The sequence below is a fragment of the Homo sapiens genome, chromosome 11, assembly GCF_000001405.40.
Source record: "Homo sapiens chromosome 11, GRCh38.p14 Primary Assembly".
NCBI classification, from domain to species: domain Eukaryota; kingdom Metazoa; phylum Chordata; class Mammalia; order Primates; family Hominidae; genus Homo; species Homo sapiens.
The window spans coordinates 3,618,072-3,638,050 of NC_000011.10; the positions used below are offsets into that span (position 1 = coordinate 3,618,072).

General features: G+C 50.2%; 1 pseudogene across 1 annotated transcript; it reads left to right on the forward strand.

Annotated features, from left to right (window-relative positions):
- The first annotated feature begins 8,388 nt into the window (after window positions 1-8,388).
- On the forward strand, window positions 8,389-19,488 carry TRPC2 (transient receptor potential cation channel subfamily C member 2 (pseudogene); annotated as a pseudogene). The gene is made up of 7 exons (NR_002720.2): window positions 8,389-8,509; window positions 8,601-8,763; window positions 16,221-16,413; window positions 16,974-17,101; window positions 17,204-17,282; window positions 18,036-18,165; window positions 19,090-19,488. The product of NR_002720.2 is annotated as a transient receptor potential cation channel subfamily C member 2 (pseudogene) (transcript).
- The last annotated feature ends 491 nt before the right edge of the window (window positions 19,489-19,979 follow it).

The following is a 19,979-nucleotide window of genomic DNA, read 5'->3' on the forward strand; positions in this document are numbered from 1 at the left end:
GACTGCAGTCCACGCAAAGGCTCTCAGGAAGTATACACGGTGATGAGTGAAGGGGAGACACTGCGCAGGAAGGACTGAGAATGCACGAAGCAGAACCTGGAGGCAGGTACTAGTGAGGGTCCTGGAATGCCGCCAGTCCAGTTTGTCCATCCCTCATCCCCTGACGGCTCCTGTGTGTCAAGCTAGACTCGATCCCCATCCCCAAGATGACCATTAGGTGGGGAAACCAACATGGATGTTAAAATGGAGGGCTAAGGAAGTTGTGACTGATGGTGGTGGAAGGATAGGAGAATGAAAAGCCCCCACTGCACAGCTAGCAGGAAAGGGCAGTCCTTTCCAAAGGACTTTCCCTCCGTTCTCACAGCAGCCTAAGAGACAGGCATAGCAGGAAGTATCATCCCCACTTTACAGCAGAGAAGCTGAGGCCTGGGAAGGGGAAGTACCTTGCCCAATGTGATACCACCTGAGGACAGTGCTGGGACTCAGACCTCACCTCCTGAAAGCTGTCCCTGGATGCTCTCTAGGGTGAGGGCCTCAAGTAAAACCCAGGATAGGATGGATAAATTGGAGCCAAGGACCGCCTTAGGCCAGGCACAGTGACTCACGCCTCTAACCCCAGCACTTTGGGAGGCTGAGACAGGAGGATGAGGAGGCCAGGAGTTCGAGACCAGCCTGGGCAACATAGCAAAATCTCATCTCTATTTATTTATTTTTTTAATTTTTTGGAGACAGAGTTTCACTCTTGTTACCCAGGCTAGAGTGCAGTGGCGCCATCTCAGCTCACTGCAACCTCTACCTCCTGGGTTCAAACGATTGTCCTGCCTCAGCCTCCCGAGTAGCTGGGATTACATGCCTGCCACCACGCCCAGCTAATTTTTGTGTTATTAGTAGAGACAAGGTTTCACCATGTTAGCCAGGCTGGTCTTGAACTCCTGACCTTAGGTGATCTGCCCGCCTCAGCCTCCCAAAGTGCTGGGATTACAGGCATGAGCCACCATGCCCAGCTATTTTTTAAAAATAATAAATAAGTGGCCGGGCGCGGTGGCTCACGCCTATAATCCCAGTACTTTGGGAGGCTGAGGCAGGTGGATCACCTAAGGTCAGGAGTTCCAGACTAGCCTAGCCTGGCCAACATGGTGAAACCCCATCTATACTAATAATACAAAAAAATTATTAGCTGAGCATGGTGGCGCACACCTTTAATCTCCCCTACTCAGGAGGCTGAGGCAGGAGAATCGCTTGAACCCAGGAGGCGGAGGTTGCAGTGAGCCAAGATCGCGCAATTGCACTCCAGCCTGGGTGACAAGAGTGAAACTCGTCTCAAATAATAATAATAATAATAATTAATAAGAACTGCCTTATTCATTTCTGCATCTCCTAAAATTGCCAACGCAGGTTCTCATATAAGGTAGGTGTTCCAATAAATTAATTAAATGAGCACATGAAGGGTGTAAGGAGTAGAAGTAAAAGTGGGACAAGAAACAGATTAGAAGGGGAAGGAAAAGAGACAGAAAAAATGACAGAAGGGTTTGGGTTGAAGTGACTTAGTGATGAGGTAGCAATAGCACTAGATAAGCGAAGTGACCCAGGAGGTATCTCATTAGAGCAGGAAGGATGAGGCCGGGTGCGGTGGCTCACGCTTGTGATCCCAGCACTTTGGGAGGCCGAGGCGGGCGGATCATGAGGTCAGGAGATTGAGACCATCCTGGCTAACATGGTGAAAACCCGTCTCTACTAAAAATACAAAAAAATTAGCCGGGCATGTGGCGGGCACCTGTAGTCCCAGCTACTCAGGAGGCTGAGGCAAGGAGAATGGCTTGAACCCGGGAGGCGGAGTTTGCAGTGAGCTGAGATTGCAGCACTGCACTCCAGCCTGGGCGACAGAGCGAGACTCCGTCTCAAAAAAAACAAAAAAACAAAGAAGGATGGGTGAGGTGGCAAAGGAAAAAGAAATCAATGCCCTAGTGACACCAGACATAGGAACTGATGGTGCAGGGGCAGGACAGAGGTGGCCCAGGCCCACTACTGGTGGGCGTGTGGGTAGGAAGGAGTGGGCTGATTTAATGGGGTTGGATCCACAGGGTGGTAGGCATACACGGACCTGCTTCTCTACAGCCTGAGTACATTGCTCTGGAGTCACTGAGCCAGGACTATGGCTTTCAGCTGCTGGGCATGTGCTGGAACCAGAGTGAGGTCACTGCAGTGCTCAACGACCTGGCCGAGGACAGCGAGACTGAGCCCGAGGCTGAAGGCCTGGGCCTGGCCTTTGAGGAAGGCATCCCCAACCTGGTGAGGCTGCGACTGGCTGTCAACTACAACCAGAAGCGGGTCAGCTGGGCCCCACCTATATCCCCTCCCTGTCCTTTTCTCTTGCCCTGCCACCTCTAGGTCTCCCTGACCAGCCCTAAGCAACTCCTTTTCCTGCCCTCGAGACCCTCTCAGGCCTTGGTCCTGAGCACCCTTCTGTCTAAGCCCTTGACCCTGTGGGTCCCCTCCCTTCTTACATTCAATCTAAGCCCCTAACCTCTCCCCAGCCCTTGGAAGACCCATTACCCACCAAGACCTCACCTTCAGACCAGGACATCTGGTCTTAGACAGCTTTGTCTCTGACCTGCTGAGTTACTTCAATCCAGTCTTTCTGTTGTTCAGTTTCAGTACATCACTCTATAAAGCAAGATAAGACTAGATCTCTCAGGCCTTAAATATCCCCCAAAAGGTTCTATTATTCCCTGTCTCCTCAGACATCCTCCCCTCTAAGCTAAAGACAGGCTCCTTGTTTAGCCTCCCCCAGCTCCTTGCTCCTCACTCTCATCCACCCTCAACATCCACCAGGAACTTAACCAAAAACCTTCCTTCATAATGGCTCCCCTGGCCCTGTCTCCCAGTACAGCAAACCCCAGCTTCCCTCTTCTGCCCTCCTCAAGATCATCCAGGCTGATGTCCCACACCTCTAAGAAGGCAGGGGACCCTGGGGGTTCTGGGTCTTGGGTCCCCAGTTCTACCCACCACTGATTAACTTAGACTCAAGAATGTAGGGTCCAGAGAGTTCAGGAAAATCTTTGAGTTCAGTTTCCCCTCCATAGACCGAGGCCTAGAGAGAGATGGGTCTGACCACGGTCATCTGACAAGCGAGTTGGCTGGTGTGGGGAGAAAAGAAGGATTGTTCGACCTCTGTGGCAGGGAAGGAAGGGCTGTGTACCCAACTGGCTCCCCCATCCTCATCCTTGCCTGGTGGCCTCCCACTCTGCTTATGCCCCATCTCTGCTTAGTTCGTAGCACACCTCATCTGCCAGCAAGTCCTGTCCTCCATCTAGTGTGGGAACCTGGCTGGTTGGCGGGGAAGCACCACCAGCTGGAAGCTCTTTGCTACCTTCCTCATCTTCCTCACCATGCCCTTCCTCTGCCTTGGCTACTGGCTGACACCAAAGTCCCAGGTACTAAGAATAAGATTAATGATAACTGTCACTTATTGAGCACTTGTTTTATGAGGCCCTGGGCTAGACACTTGGTGAATATAACTTTGTGTGAATGTTTCCATTAAGTAGCTGCAAGTGTAGCCCTGAGGAAGGCATTCTGCTTCAGTGGTACAGGGGAGCAACCTGAGGCACAGGGAAGGGCAATGCTCTTTTTGTCAAAAGTACACAGGAAATAGTGGAGTGAGGATTTAAACCGAAGTCTCTCTGCCTCCAAAACCTTAATCCTACTAACAGCCCTATACTCGCCTAAAGAGAGGCCCACCCCAGCTACAAATTCTATGGGAGCCCTTCATCCAACCAATATGTCCTTGAGACCCAACTGTGAGCCAAGCATGGTGCCTGGCACTGGGGTTATCATGAAGAAAAGCCCTGTTCCTGCTGAGCAGGTGAGGAATGGGGAGAGGGGTCTTCCAGGAAGCAGGAGCATACGTGTGAAGGCCTGGGGGAGGGAGAACCCAAAGTGTTAGAGAAACTGAAAGGAATTAGATGAAGAGTGGTGGAGAAGCATGCAGGGGCCAGATCTCACACAGCCCTTATAAGCCACGCAGGATGGGAGCCATTGTAGGATTAATGAGGCGAGTCCCGCATCAGTCTTGTGTTTCAGAAAGTGCCCTCTACTAGGGGTGTGAAAGGTGGGCTGGGGGTGCAGGGCAGGAGTTAGGGAGACTGGGTGTGAGGGGACAAGCACGTAGAGATGTTTCATATTCCCGGCCTGGGTGACAAGGTCATTTTATGAGGTGGGGACACAGAAGATGGAAGAGCAAGATAGGATAGAAGATGATGAATTTATTTTTTAACGTGGTTGAGTTTGAAGAGCCTGTCGGGCCTCCGAGGCAAAGTTACTTTACATCTGTGATCCTCAGTTCTTGAAAAAAAAAAAGGGAATAATAATGTCTACCTCATATGGTTTGGAAGGAGACAACAGATAGGAGTCTACGGCCTGATATGTAGCACATTCTCAATATATGTCTGAATAGTGCGTGACTGAATCTGAGAAAGGGGAGTCACATGTGGGTGGAGCAGTCTAGGAAGGGCTCACAGGAGGGAGAGACACCCAGGACTGAGAGCCCTACTCTCCCTCCTTCCCCTGGAAGCTGGGCCACCTGCTAAAGATCCCAGTACTGAAGTTCCTGCTGCACTCTGCCTCCTATCTGTGGTTCCTCATCTTCCTGCTGGGAGAGTCCCTGGTCATGGAGACACAGCTGAGCACCTTCCGTGGCCGCAGCCAGAGTGTCTGGGAGACTTCACTACACATGATTTGTGTCACAGGTATACGTGTAGGACCCTTTATTTGTGGCAGTGTCCCTTAGGGGCCCTCCTTCCTGTCCTTCACAATAAGCACCCCAACAGGGGGATCCTGCTTTGTAGATGACCCTGAACATATAACCAGACCCCTCTGGGCTGTAGCACACTACAGGGCCCTTTCCCTTCACCCCTAGTCAGGGACCTAGCCCTGTGGTAGACTCCCTGAGCAAGGACCCCTTCTTCCCCATCCCTGGCATCAGTCACTACCCACCCTGGAGGTTTCTGTTCTCTCACAAATAAGACCCTGGTCCACAGTGCGAGGTGGGAAACTACCTTGGTGTCATGGCAGCCCCCAAGTACTGCAAGACAGACTCTCCTGGAGGTCATGGAGCAGAAAGGCTCACAGACCAAATGAAAGGACTCAAATCATACAGAGAGTTAAATCCGTAAGTGGTGTAATTATGATGGTGTTGTAATAAGGATCAGAGTTGAGGTTTGAGTGGCTGGGGTTAGGGGGGTGGTGCAATGGACAGAAGGTGCCTGGAGCCAGGCATGGTGGCTCATGCCTGTAATCTCAGCCACTCAAGAGGCTGAGGTGGGAGGATTGCTTGAGGCCAGAAATTCAAGACCAGCCTGGGCAACATAGAGAGACGCCATCCCTTAAAAATAAAAGAAGATTGGCCAGGTGCGGTGGCTCACGCCTGTAATCCTAGCACTTTGGGAGGCCGAGGCGGGCAGATTGCCAGAGCTCAGGAGTTCAAGACCAGCTTGGGGAAGATGGTGAAACCCCGTGTCTACTAAAATACAAAAAATTAGCCAGGCACGGCAGCATGTGCCTGTAATCCCAGCTACTATGGAGGTTGAGGCAGGAGAACTGCTTGAACCCGGGAGGCGGAGGTTGCAGTGAGCTGAGATTGTGCCACTGCATTCCAACCTGGGTGACAGAGCAAGACTCTGTCTCCAAAATGAAATAAAATAAAAAATAATAAAAGAAGATACCTTGGCCCAAGACTTGATCTATGGGAGAAACACAGTGGCAGGTATGTTTGGCTGCAGCTGTAGCTTGCCAATTATCCTGATGAGTAGCTATTAATTTCATATGTATTATTCGGGCAGAGGACATGTCGAAACAGAATGGCTGGTGCCAGTGGGTAGCTGATTTAAGATCTCATGAATACTGAGGGCCTCGTATGCTTCATGCATATTCAGTATATCATGAATATTTATAGTCTGTCCATCTCTTTCTATGTATGTTCACCCACACATGCTCTACTAACTTTACTTGTTCAACGTGTCACTAAAGTAACTAGCCTATACTTAACGCATAAGTTTCATCCATTCCATTGGTTTTCTTTTCTTCTATAGCAGAATTGAGTATTCTCAAACAATTTAGCAAATGCAATTTACAAGAATCCCCAGAGCTTCAGCAGCCTCTGGCCTGTCAGCTCAGCAGGCCGAATTGGTGGCGCCTTCCTCGGCTGTCCTCCTCTCATTTAGTTCTGGCTTGGTTAGTAAACTCTAGAGCCACCAGTATACCAAGTCCACTGCTCCACCCTGTACCAGGCCAGTCAGTGATGTCAGAAAGGAAATCTGGTGCAGAAACTTTAGGGAAAGAAAATAAGAGCAGCCCAAGAGGGAAAGTTTCTCATCCTATTGTTTACTAAACATGGATTGACCTGTGCTGAGTGGAGAGGAAACCAATACAATTCCTACCCGTGGGAGAAGAAAGGTCTTAGAAACATATGAAACAAAACCCATTTATTCATGTAATAAATGTTTCTTGATGCCCTATCATAAGTGAAGCCCTAAGGGTACATGGAGAAGTTTAACATGGCCCCATCCATCCAACACACATTCACTGAGCGTGCACCCTACCCTCACAGGGCATTCCTGCTCTACAGGACTGATTTAGGTTCCCGACCACATGATATTCACATTTGTCTAGGCCTTTGCTCATTCACATTTCCTGGAGCACTTGCCTCTTCCTGCACTGCCCCTTCACCTGGCTGGCTCCCACTCCTCCTTCAGGTCTCAGCTTAAATGCCACTTTTGGAGAAGTTTTCCCTGGCCCCTAAATCAGGGTGAGGGTCCATCCCTAAACACCCATAACAGTCCCTCTGTCCCCCTGCTCCTTAGTCCTAGCATTTACCACATTGTGTGAGACCCGCTTGGGTTACCCACTATGCTCCTCACAGACTGTAAGCCCTGGGAGGGCAGGGACTGTCTTATTCACCACAGGTTCCCACTGGCACATGGTAGGAGCTTACTAAATGTTTGTTTAGGCCAGGCGCAGTGGCTCACGCCTGTAATCCCAAGACTTGGGGAGGCTGAGGCAGGTGTATCACCTGAGGTCAGGAGTTCGAGACCAACCTGGCCAACATGATAAAACCCTGTCTTTACTAAAAAATACAAAAATTAGTCAGGAGTGGTGGCATGTGCCTGTAATCCCAGCTACTCGGGAGGCTGAGGCAGGAGAATTGCTTGAACCCAGGAGGCGGAGGTTGCAGTGAGCCGAGATCGGGCCACTGCACTCCAGCCTGGGGACCAGAGAGCGAGACTCTGTCTCAAAATATATATATATACATTCTTTTTCATATTTGTTTAATTTGTTCTGGGCACCAGGGACAGAGATGAGTGGACATAGTCCCTGCCCTTGAGGGGCTCCAAGTTCAGGGGGAGGCAGGGTAGAGACAGACCTGTGGAGAGAGATCCTGCAGTGCCCTGTAGTGATGGGATCACAGAGATATGAGCTGTGAGAACACAAAACCCCAAGAAATTCACTCCACCTGCTTAGGGAAGGCTACTTGGAGAAGATAACATGCGACCTGGGCCACAAAGGTGAGCTGGGCTTCCAGAAGATGTGGAAGGACATTCTAGGCACAGGGAACAAACCATGAGTGGAAAAGCATGTGATTGTATCCAGGGAATGAGAAGGGTGCAATGTGGCAGGGCCACCTAGCTTATGGGGTCCAGCTCCCAAGACCCCCAGCCCCAGGTCTGGTACTGGGCCTCACTGGAACACAGGCACCCTGAGCAGCCTGAGAATTTGGAACCCCTTCAAGTCGATACTCTGTATTTTTTAATTTTTAAAAATAATTTAATAGAGATGGGGTTTCACCATGTTGCCCAGGCTGGTCTCAAACTCCTGGGCTCAAGCAATCCTCCTGCCTTGGCCTCCCAAAGTGTTGGGATTACAGGCGTGAGCCACCGCACCCAGGCTCAAATCAATATTCTTCAGTTATTTGTCCAGTATTTACTTGATGGAGGGCACAGAGAAACAAATTTCAGTCATTCCCTCCTAATAGACAGCCTGTCCCAGGTGATACTCACATTCGGAGTATCCGCTGACTGGGATCATTGGTTCAGGTCACACCAGCAGTGTCTGCATCAGCAAGGCGTCTTTTTTATGTTCACATAAGATCACCTGTTCCTGAGTAGATTACATGTTTACATGTCATTGACTTCACCCCATAATGTTTTAGCACCTCACTGCCATTCATAGGTTACCCCTGCCTCGTAATCTAGCTCTGACATAGAAGGAGAAGTTCGGTCCCATTCTGTCCTGGCTCCCTGCCACCCCGCTTCAGGCTTCCTGTGGTTTGAGTGCAAGGAAGTGTGGATTGAGGGCCTGCGCAGTTACCTCCTGGACTGGTGGAACTTCCTGGATATGGTCGTCCTGTCCCTGTACCTGGCAGCCTTCGCACTGCGCCTCCTCCTGGCTGGGCTTGCCCCCATGCACTGCCGGGACGCCTCCCAAGCGGCTGCCTGCCACTATTTCACCATGGCTGGTGAGTGTCCCTTCAATTCAGCCCTGAATCCCCCAGTTCTTCTTTCTTGGCTCTTGGCTCCCAGCCACAGCCCCCATTCCACCCCGTGCAGAATGAAGCGAGTGGCACACCGAGGATCCCCAGTTCTTGGCTGAGGTGCTCTTCACTGCCACCAGCATGCTCAGCTTCACCCGCCTGGCCTACATTCTGCCGGCCCACGAGTCGCTGGGCACTCTGCAGATTTCCATTGGCAAGATGATTGAAGACATGATCCGGTGCGTACCGGCCCTGCTCTGAGCTCGCTCCTCTCTGTAGACTCCACTTGACTTCCTTCCAAAACTCCCCAGCTCTTGGGTAACACAGGAATCCTTGACCTGTGTTCCTACAGAGACGTGCGCTCCAAAGACCTCTGACCCCCTGAAACTACAGGCAAAATTTGGAGGGTAAGTGTATATGTTTCTGCAGAGAGGGTCTACAACTTACATCTAATTCTCAAAGAGGCCATGACCCCAGAAAAGATTAGGAACCATAGATAGCAGAAAAAGCCCTTGGTTGGGAGTTCCAGTCCCAGTTCTGTCAGTCTCCATGACCCCTCTGTGGGCCTCAGTTTTCCCATCATTAAGGAAAAAGCAGTGGACTCAGGGGTCCCTTTGGATCCCTTCCACTCAGCTCTTTGAGCCCCTGACCTTAACTGGCCTTCTTGGTGCTCATCACCTAATCATGTCCAGCAAATCCTGGCCTCTCACCTAATCAGGCCCCATAGTTAATGCCTGCCTCCCTGGGAATCCTCAGCCTGAGGTAGGACTACAGTGAGTGTCCTTGGTGGGAAAAACCTTAGCTGCATCTATTAATATTAACAACTTTAGCTCAGCTTAGCTGGAGGGAGAACCTCCCACCCCACCCCAGGAATTTTCTGGCCTCCCCATGGCAGGCCAGCTCATTCTCACATGTGACTCTGACTCTTCTGGTGATAACTCCTGTTCAGTGGGATTCTGACTCCCAGCTATCCCTGTGTCATTCCTTTAGAATCTCAGCATCTCATTCCCTCCCTGGGAGACCGCTCTGTCCTCAGCTTTGACTGCTTGGACTTAGTACCCATTAATCTTTTTTTTTTTTTTTTTTTTTTTTGAGACGGAGTCTCGCTCTGTTGCCCAGGCTGGAGTGCAGTGGCGTGATCTCGACTCACTGCAAGCTCTGCCTCCCGGGTTCACGCCATTCTCCTGCCTCAGCCTCCCGAGTAGCTGGGACTACAGGCGCCAGCCACCACACCCGGCTAATTTTGTGTGTTTTTAGTAGAGACGGGGTTTCACCGTGTTAGCCAGGATGGTCTCGATCTCCTGACTTGTGATCCGCCCTCCTCGGCCTCCCAAAGTGCTGGGATTACAGGCGTGAGCCACTGCGCCCGGCCTCCATTCTTAATAATAACCAAATTTGGCCAGGCACGGTGGCTCACGCCTGTAATCCTAGCACTTTGGGAGGCTAAGGCGGGTGGATCACTTGAGGTCAGGAGTTTGAGACAAGCCCGGCCAACATGGTGAAACCCAGTCTCTACCAAAAGTACAAAAATTAGCTGGGTGTGGTGGCACATACCTGTAGTACCAGCTACTTGGGAGGCTGAGGCAAGAGAATTGCTAGAACCTGAGATTGAGAGGTTGCAGTGAGCCAAGATGGCACCACTGTACTCCAGTCTGGCTGACAGAGCGAGACTCCGTCTCAAAAATAAATAAATAAATATATAACCTGCCGGGCGTGGTGGCTCATGCCTGTAATCCCAGCACTTTGAGAGGCCGAGGCAGGCAGATTACCTGAGGTTAGGAGTTCAAGACCAGCCTGGCCAACATGGTGAAACCCTGTCTCTACTAAAAATACAAAAAAAATTAGCCCGGCATGGTGGCACACACCTGTAATCCCAGCTACTCGGGAGGCTGAGGCAGGAGAATCACTTGAGCTCAGGAGCGGAGGTTGCAGTGAGCTGAGATCGTGCCACTGCACTCCAGCCTGGCCGACAGAGCAAGACTCTGTCTCAATAAATAAATAAATAAATAACCAAATTGAATACTTGTTGAGCAGAGAGCCAGGGAGGCCTTCATCCCTCTTCCTGGAGCCTGACTTCTCTCAAGGTGGAGACCTGCTCTGACCCTCCCACATCCCACCCCCTGCCAGGTTTATGTTCATCCTCATGATCATCCTGACCGCCTTCCTCTGTGGCCTCAACAACATCTATGTGCCCTACCAGAAGACAGAGTGGCTGGGCAAGTATGCAGGGGCAGAGGCAGGATGGGAGGTAGAGAGCCTGGGACCTTACAGCTTGGAGCCCTAGTGATCTCTCCTTTTCCCTCCCTCCCTCATTTATTCACTCAACTAATTCTCTTGTTTGCTCACTCCTTCTTTGATTCACTCTGTCACTCATTCATTTGTTCATTTATACATTCATTCGTTTACCCATTTTCTCCTCAAACTTGTTATTTTGAAAAATGTCAATCCTATGAAAAGTACAGTGGACACCCCTATATCCTTCACCCAGCTTCACCAATCGTTAATGTTTTACCACACTTGCTTCATCTGTTGCTCCCTTTATTCTATTTTTTTCCTGAAACATTTAAAAGGAAGTTGTAAATATAATGACACTTCATCCCTAAACAGTTCAGGATGTCTTTTAAGAACATAACCACAAAAGTATTATCACACTCAAAAAATTTAACATCCATATTATATATACACACACGTATACATATGTATACATACATACATACGTATACATATATACATACGTATACATACATACGTATACATATATACATACGTATACATACATACGTATACATATGTATACATACATACGTATACATATGTATACATACATACGTATACATATGTATACATACATACATACGTATACATACATATGTATACACATATATATATACATATATATTTTTTTTTTTTTTTTGAGACACAGTCTCACTCTGTCGCCCAGCTGGGGTGCAGTGGCGCGATCTCAGCTCACTGCAACCTCCACCGCCCGGGTTCAAGTGATTCTCCTGCCTCACCCTCCTGAGTGGCTGGGATTACAGGCACCCGCCACCAGGCCCAGCTAATTTTTGTATTTTTAGTAGAGACGGGGTTTCACCATGTTGGCCAGGCTAGTCTTTAACTCCTGACCTCATGATCCACCCGCCTCGGCCTCCCAAAGTGCTGGGATTATAGGCATGAGCCAGCGCACCCGGCCTCATACCCTAATATTATTTACTATACAGTCCTTATTGATATTTCCCCAATTGCCTGGAAAAAAGTCTCTCTAGTTTTAAAAATCTGATATCCAATCTAGGATCACACATTACATTTTGTTGTGCTATCTCTTTAGTCTCCTTTAATCTCGAACACACCCCGACCTCTTTGTCTTGCATGAAGAGTGTAGATCAAATTGGATTTATCTATAAATTATTGATCATAATTAGATTCAAGTTAAGCAGTTTTGGCAAGAACATGACCTAGTTGATTGTGTGTACTTTCTACTGCATCACAGTAGAAGGTGCATGATATCAGTGTGGCCTATTGGTGAGGCCAATTGCTGTAGCAAAGTCTTCATTGTAATGGTACCAGGGAAGCCCTTTTAGTAACAGGAAGCTATGTTGAGACTGTGTGACAACACTGCTCCCTCAAAACCTTTTACCCAGTGGATTTAGCATCCATAGATGATTTTTACCTGAATTGGTTATTACGGTGGTTTCAAGATCATGATTTTCTGCCTCTGTCATTTCTTCTACATTTATTCACTGGCATCCTTCTGTGAAGAAGTGTTTTCACCTACTTTCTTCTTCTTCTTTTTTTTTTTTTTCTTTTGAGACAGAGTCTCGCTCCGTCACCCTGGCTGGAATGCAGTGGCATGATCTCGGTTCACTGCAACCTCCACCTACCAGGTTCAAGCAATTCTCCTGCCTCAACCTCTTGAGTAGCTGGGATTACAGGCCTGCACCACCACGCCCGGCTAATTTTTGTATTTTCAGTGGAAACGGGGTTTCACCATGTTAGCCAGGATGGTCTCAAACTACTGACCTCTGGTGATCTGCCCACCTCGGCCTCCCAAAATGCTGGGATTACAGGCATGAGCCACCGCGTCCGGCCTTTCCTCTTTTTTGAATATCACTATGGACTCAATATGATAATCCATTACAGTCATTATTCTTTTGGGTGCTCAATTCTTCCTAAATGTGGCTAATAACTAATTTATATATTTGTTTATTCCCTCATTTATTGTTCATTCACTCTATTTATTTATTTATTTTTTGAGATAGGGTCTTGCTCTGTTGCCTAGGCTAGAGTGCAGCAGCGCGATCTTGGCTCACTGCAGCCTCCGCCTCCCAGGTTCAAGCAATTCTCCCACCTCAGCCTCCTGAGTCGCTGGGATTACAGGCACACCACTACACCCAGCTAATTTTTGTATTTTTAGTAGAGACGGGGTTTCACCATGTTGGCCGGGCTGGTCCGGAACTCCTGACCTCAGGTGATCCACCCTCCTCGGCCTCCCAAAGTGCTGGGATTACAGGTGTGAGCCACTGTGCCCGGCCCACTCACTCACTTTTTAAAATTTTTTTTCTTTTTTTTAGAGACAAGGTCTTGCTCTGTCACCCAGGCTGGAGTGCAGTGGTGTGATCATGGCTCACTGAAGCCTCGACTTCCCAGGCTCAAACCATCCTCCCACCTCAGCCTTCCTATTAGCTAGGACTACAGGCATGCACCACCACACTCAGCTAATTTTTTATCTTTTTGTTGAGATAGGGTCTTGCCGTGTTGCCCAGGCTGTTCTCGAACTCCTGGCCTCAAGCAATCCTCTGGCCTCAACCTCCCAAAATGCTGAGATGACAGCATTTCATGATGTCATCATGAGCCACCACACCCAGTCTCACTCACTTTTAAAATTCATTCACTTTCTTAGTCATTCAGTTGTTGTAGGTTTTTTGTTGTCACTGACTTCATACCTATTTACTGACACTTTCTTTTAGTAGGTTCTGTTTCCTGGCACTGGAAGCACAGGCAGGAGAAATAAACCAGACTCTTTGTCATAGAGAAGACAGCCATGTGCACAAATGAGCTCAATTTGCGACAAGTGCTGTGAGAAAGGAGAGTTTATACTGATTGTGCCCAGCGGAGGAAGCACCTTCCTCTGTCTTAGATGACCAGGGGAGGCTTTACAGAGAAGAGAGAATCTGGACTTCAGCTAGGAAGGTTACAGACTTCAGAGAAGATATAGGGCATTCTGAGCAGAGAGGGGGCATGCGCCAAAGCAGGGAGGTATATTTGGAGAACAGCAAGATGCCTCCCATAGTTGGCACATGGAGAGAATTTTGTGAAAGGAAGTGAGAGAGGGTAGCTGGGCCCACGTCAGAAGCTCAGGGAGGTCTTGGTGAGAAGCTTGGGCTTTCTCCAGGAGGCCAGAGAGCTCTAGGTGGCCTCCCAAGCAGCTGCCCAATCATAAATTCCTCATGAGTGCAACTGCCTGATAGTTTTATCGATGATGCTAAAGGACCCACACTTGGTCAAGGCTCTCTCATGGTTCCAGTGTATATGGAAGCTGTATTCAGACCTATGCTCTTACAAAGAATTCTTGTTCATAGCCTGGCTTCAGGCTGTTAGCTTAAAGGAATTGAGTTTACTGTGACTCTTAGTGCCAGGGATAGGAACTACTCAGACCAGCCTGCTTTGTGGCTCCTGGTGACATCACTTCACAGTGGCAAGGGAAGGCCAAGCCCTCCTGGGCTATTCATTCATGAGTGACTGCTAAGTAAGTCAAAAGTTGTTTTTTGCTGTTGTTTTTTGAGACAGGGTCACACTGTGCCACCCAGGCCAGAGTGCAGTGGCACAATCACAGCTCACTGCAGCCTTGAACTCCCGGGCTCAAGCTATCCTTCTGCCTCGGCCTCCTGAGTAGCTGGGACTACAGGCGTGTGCCACCACACCTGGCTAATTTTTTTTATTTTATGTAGAGACAAGGTCTCTAACTCCTGGCCTCAAGTGATCCTCCTGCTTCTGCCTTCGAAAGTGCTGAGAATACAGGTGTGAGCCACCATGACCAGTGCATCAAAAATAATTTTGCTAAAATTCTTACGTAGGTTGTATGGTAGACGTCTGGACTGAGGGTAGTTAGGAGCATTTAAAGGTTGACAAGCCAAAGTACAACAGATTAGGTCAGGTTCACATTTAGAAGGAGCACCCTGGATGCACTGTGGAGGACAGAATAATAAGAGAGACAGAGCCCACAGACCAGTGCAAAGCTGTGAGAATCTATACCTGAACTGGTGCTGAGACGGAGGGAATGAGACGGATTCACAAATAAATACAAGAGGAAGGAAAATGTGGTCAGGTCTGTGACTGGCGAACTTTCTGCTGGAGGTAGGGAAGGGAAGGACTGCCTGAAAGAGGTAGCACTGGAGCTGCTACCAGGGTGCTCCAAACCCCCAACCTGTCTCACCTAGCCCATGAGAACAGTTTCTTTCAAGATGGAGTCTGGCTCTGTCACCCAAGCTGGAGAGCAGTGGCGTGATCTCAGCTCACTGCAACCTCCACCTTCCCGGTTCAAGCGATTCTCCTGCCTCAACCTCCCAAGTAGCTGGGATTACAGACACCCACCACCACACCTGGTTAATTTTTGCATTTTTTAGTAGAAATGGGGTTTCGTCATGTTGGCCTGGCTGGTCTTGAACGCCCAACCTTAGGTGACTGGCTCACCTCAGCCTCCCAAGGTGCTGGGATTACAGGCGTGAGCCACCATGCCCAGCCCATGACAACAATTTCTTACCTGGTCTCTGCACCTCTGCTGTCTCACTTACTTCCCTTCCATTCTACTCACAGCAGCCAACATGATCTTTTCCAATGTAAATCAGCGTCACCCCTCTGCTTAGAACTCTTCACAGCTTCCTATTGCTCATAGACCATGGTAAGGATTTTTGTTTTTCTCCTACAAGCTCTTGCATGAGGTGGCTGGTCCCTAACTACCTCTCACAAGCATCTCTCTCCTCTGCCTTCTGAGACCAGCCGTGCCGGACTTCTCTCAGTTTCTCAGATGCCCAGAGCTCGTCTGCCTTGGGGAATACCCTTTTTCACACTTCTCCTTCCCTTTGACATGTGGAATCCCACACATCCTTCAGAGCTCAGCTTGAATGCTTCTCAAAGAAGCTTTCCCCAGCCCCAGACTAGGTCATAACATCCTGGGCTGCTCCTTCACAGCACTTGTCACAATTTTAATTTTTTAATTTTAAATATTTTGTAAATTAAATTGAGACGGCGTCTCACTATGTTGCCTAGGTTGGTCTCCAACTCTTGGGCTCAAGCGATCTGCCCACTGCGGCCTCCCAAAGTGCTAGGATTATAGGCGTGAGCCACCACACCCAGCTACAAATTTAAATTGTTGGTATAAGTAGTATCCATTTCACCCCGCCCCCCGCACCCCAGAACATAAGGCCATGAAGACAGGAACGTGCTTGTCTTGTCCACTGATGTATCCTTAGCACCTGTGACACGACTGTGCGCTCAGTAAATACCGGTTGACTGAAAGAATAAGATCCGGAGCTCAGAAACAGCACAAGTGTCTGCACTGGCCAAGGTGGTCCAAAGGGCTGCATGGAAGTGGGCACTCTTGGCCAGGTCCTGGGGGGTGGGAAAGAGTGTGTCTGGGTGAGCTCAGGCTTTTCTCCCACCCCTCATTTCCTGTTCCTTACTTGGCCTGGCATGCCAGTTTCAATGAGACGTTTCAGTTTCTGTTCTGGACCATGTTCGGTATGGAAGAGCACAGCGTGGTGGACGTGCCTCAGTTTCTGGTGCCCGAGTTTGCAGGCCGGGCCCTCTATGGCATCTTTACCATCATCATGGTCATTGTGCTGCTCAACATGCTCATTGCTATGATCACCAACTCCTTCCAGAAGATTGAGGTATGTAAACAGAGGCCAGTTTAGGCCAGGGCCAAGAAGGGAAAAAGGAATGGAGAGGAATAGGGTGCAAAGAGGCAAGACATGTGGCGCCATGCTCTGCCTCCACTGTTGTCTTGTTTGTGGCTTTGGACAAGTTTTCCTCTGTAAAATGAGGGTCTTAGTGATGCTATTAGTATCTTCAGACACCAAGTCTAGTGCTCATTCCCCCTTAGGGTTGGGCAGAGGAGTGTGTTGTAGAGAAGTAAACGGGAACATGAGAGGGAGAGGGAAGGAAATGGATGGGTTAGGGTCTGCAGGCTGGAGAATAGGCTGGGCAGGAACTGGATGTCAGAAAGATGAAAGACAATGGTGGGGAGAGAGGAAACGGGGGACAGGCAGGAGAAATGCGGGTGATAGGGGAGGTGGGAGATAAGTCTGGGGAGAAGAAAGAGGCTGGCTAGGATTATAGGCACACTGGAGAATCAAAGATGTGAGGAGCGGAGAAAAGAGAGACAGTTTGAGTGGGCAGGAGGGCCATATGCAAGGGGTCCTTGCACCACCCCCTGCTGCCTGGCTCCCAGGATGATGCTGACGTGGAGTGGACGTTTGCTCGCTCCAAGCTGTATCTGTTCTACTTCTGAGAGGGCCTGACACTGCCTGTGCCCTTCAACATCCTGCCCTCCTCGAAGGCTGTCTTCTACCTTCTCAGGTGATGACCTCAGAGCTCCCACTCCCACCCCCTAAATCCCCAGCCCCTGCCCCCATTTCCCTGTCCTCTAACCGACCTCTTCCCACCACTGAAATCTCTCAGGAGAATTTGCCAGTTCATTTGCTGTTGCTGTTCCTGCTGCAAAACCAAGAAGCCAGACTATCCCCCGATCCCTACTTTTGTGAGTACCTCCTCGGCTTGTTGCTGGTCGCCCTGGCGTAAGGCTTCACTTGTATTGTCTATACCATCCATTTGTCTGCATACCCCGGGCTTATCTATCTTTCCAGTATGTTCCCCCAGAAAGCCTGTCCCAATCCTACTCTCTCACGTGGCTTCCCTTTCCCTCTTCCAGGCTCTGGCCATTTCCTGAATTTCCAACCCTGTGTCATGCAGCCTAAACAGAAGTCCTTACCACCCTCCTCCCAAGCTAGAAATACCCACTAAGCTCCAGACAGACCTTTTTGTCCTAAACTGGTCCAAGACGTAGTTGAACATTTTTTAAAAAAACATGTTAAGAAGCCAAAGGTAAATGTCCCACAAACTGGGCAGTTAAATGGCTGACAGTGGCCTAAGAGAGGAAGCCAAGAGGCCGGACATCCAAGGAGCTCCCCAGCCCAGTCTGGCCTGGCATGAGGGTGCCTTCCTAATTCAGGTACTGCCAGGTCTGTAGGGGGTTCTCCCCCTCCACACCATCAGCCTCCCAGCCCTCGCCCACCCCTTCCTGGTCCTCTCACCGTCAGCCCTTTCCCAGCTTCTGGCCCCTGTCCTTCTACCTTCCAGGTCCGCACTGTGAGATGGAGGCCAGGGGCTAGGTGGGTCAGGGACAGAAAAGTCTACACAGACTTTTTTGCCTGGGGGTGGGGGGAAATGGGCAGTGATCAGAGGAAGGCTGGAGGTAGAGAATCTCCCTCACCCTCTTGTCTTCCCATTCCAGGCCAATCCCAGGGCAGGGGCTGTGCCTGGGGAGGGAGAGCGTGGATCCTACCGCCTTCACGTCATCAAGGCCCTGGTACAGCGCTACACAGAGACTGCCCGGCGAGAATTCGAGGAGACCCGGCGGAAAGGTTTGTCACCCACCTCCAAGCCCTCCCCATTCCTGTTCCTTGTTCAGCTGGGATAAAGGCTCCATACCCAGCGTCATGTCCTCATTCAGCCTGCATAATATGTGGTCCCATCCTGCCCTGCCCTTGGAAGGGTAACCTGCACAGCATGCCCCTTGCACTCCATTACCCTCTGACCCATCCGGGCATTTGTCCCACTCATTTCATGTAAGTGCTCATTCCTGCCTTCAGGTGTGTTCAGTTATTCTCCCATTCACTCCCTTACCCAGTCACTCATTCACCTTTTTCATTCACTCGCTTATTGACTCGTTCCACCAACATTCATCACTATGGCCTCCTTTGTTCCAGGCCCTGTCTTGGAGGGAGAGACGGGGCACTGTAGGGCAGGGACACACGGGAAGCTTTCAGTCTGGTGAGGAAGAGAAACCATCACAGCGGGCATGAAGTGCAGCTAAGAGAGACGCGAATTGCCATGGGCGCCTGAAGGGAGAAGGAGCACGTCATTTTGAGAGGCTCATGAGAAGGCAGAAGGATAGAGTAGCAGAAGGGACAAAGGGGGTGGGATCTGAACTGGGCCCTGAAGGATGGGGTGAGCTGGCTGGCCGTAGACTCGGGAGAGGGCAGGCAGGTGAACGCACAAATGTCTACGCAGTCCAGTAAGCTTTCCCCGTGGCTTGTCATCTTTCTCTGGCCCCCAGACTTTCCTTCTTTCCAGCTCCTCAGCTACTCCCTCCCACCCCCGATCAGATTCACCTGCCCCAGCTTCACCCACCCACCTGACCCCTAGCCCACAAACCCGTTCCTCACTTCTTCCAGTTCTCCCTCAGGAATCCTGGATAGGGCAACCCCTGGGGTACTGTAAAGGGTAAAAGGGGTATAGGGCAGGCTCATCCTCTGAAAGGCCCCTTGGTACTCCACCTCCTCCAGATCTGGGCAACAGACTCACAGAGCTGACCAAGACCATATCTCGACTGCAAAGCGAGGTAGCCGGTGTGCGGTGAACTCTGGCAGAGGGAGGGACGCCCCGGCCTCCCGACGGTGCCAGCGTCCTCAGTCACTACATCACTCAAGTGCACAACAGCTTCCAGAACCTGGGGCCTCCCATCCCTGAGACCCCAGAGCTGACAGGGCCTGGGATTGTGAGGACCCAGGAATCATCAGGAACCGGGCTTCAGGACACTGGAGGGGTGAGGACTCTGGCTTCCGGAGAGTCTGGCCCCTGCTCCCCAGCTCATGTGCTAGTTCATAGGGAGCAGGAAGCAGAGGGGGCTGGGGACCTGCCCCAGGGGGAGGATTCGGGGACTGAGAGGAGGTCCTGATACAGTGGAAGAGTCCCTTCTTCTGTTGCTGAGCGTGGTAGCCTAGGAGGGTGAGGGTGGGGGGCCCCTTGGGAGGAGCCTGTGCTGCTTTTCTTGCTTCAATAAAGTTTCTGCTCTGGATGTGAGAGGCCTCCAGGCTGTGTGAGAATCTCTGTCTCTTGATGTTTTGAGGTCCTCCCTCTTCTTTCCCCTGAAATGGACCCTTGTGGGAGCAGGGCAGAGAGAAATGACTTGCTCTGTGTTCCCAAGTATCTTGGGCTTGGGATCCTACTTTGAGTTTCCTCAGATCTTTTATGGACAGAGTTCTGGACCAGGAGGCAGGAGACCGGGGAGGCGGGAGGCCGGGGTTCAATGGGAACCCTCTGACCAGTTGCTTCCTTCCTTGGCTTTGCATTCCTCACCTGACAAGTGGGGCTGAGGAATCACCTGCCTGCTTTCCTGCCTTCATGGTTGTCGTGAGGACCCTCTAGCTGTTCTAGCTTCTGGATTTGCAAGTTA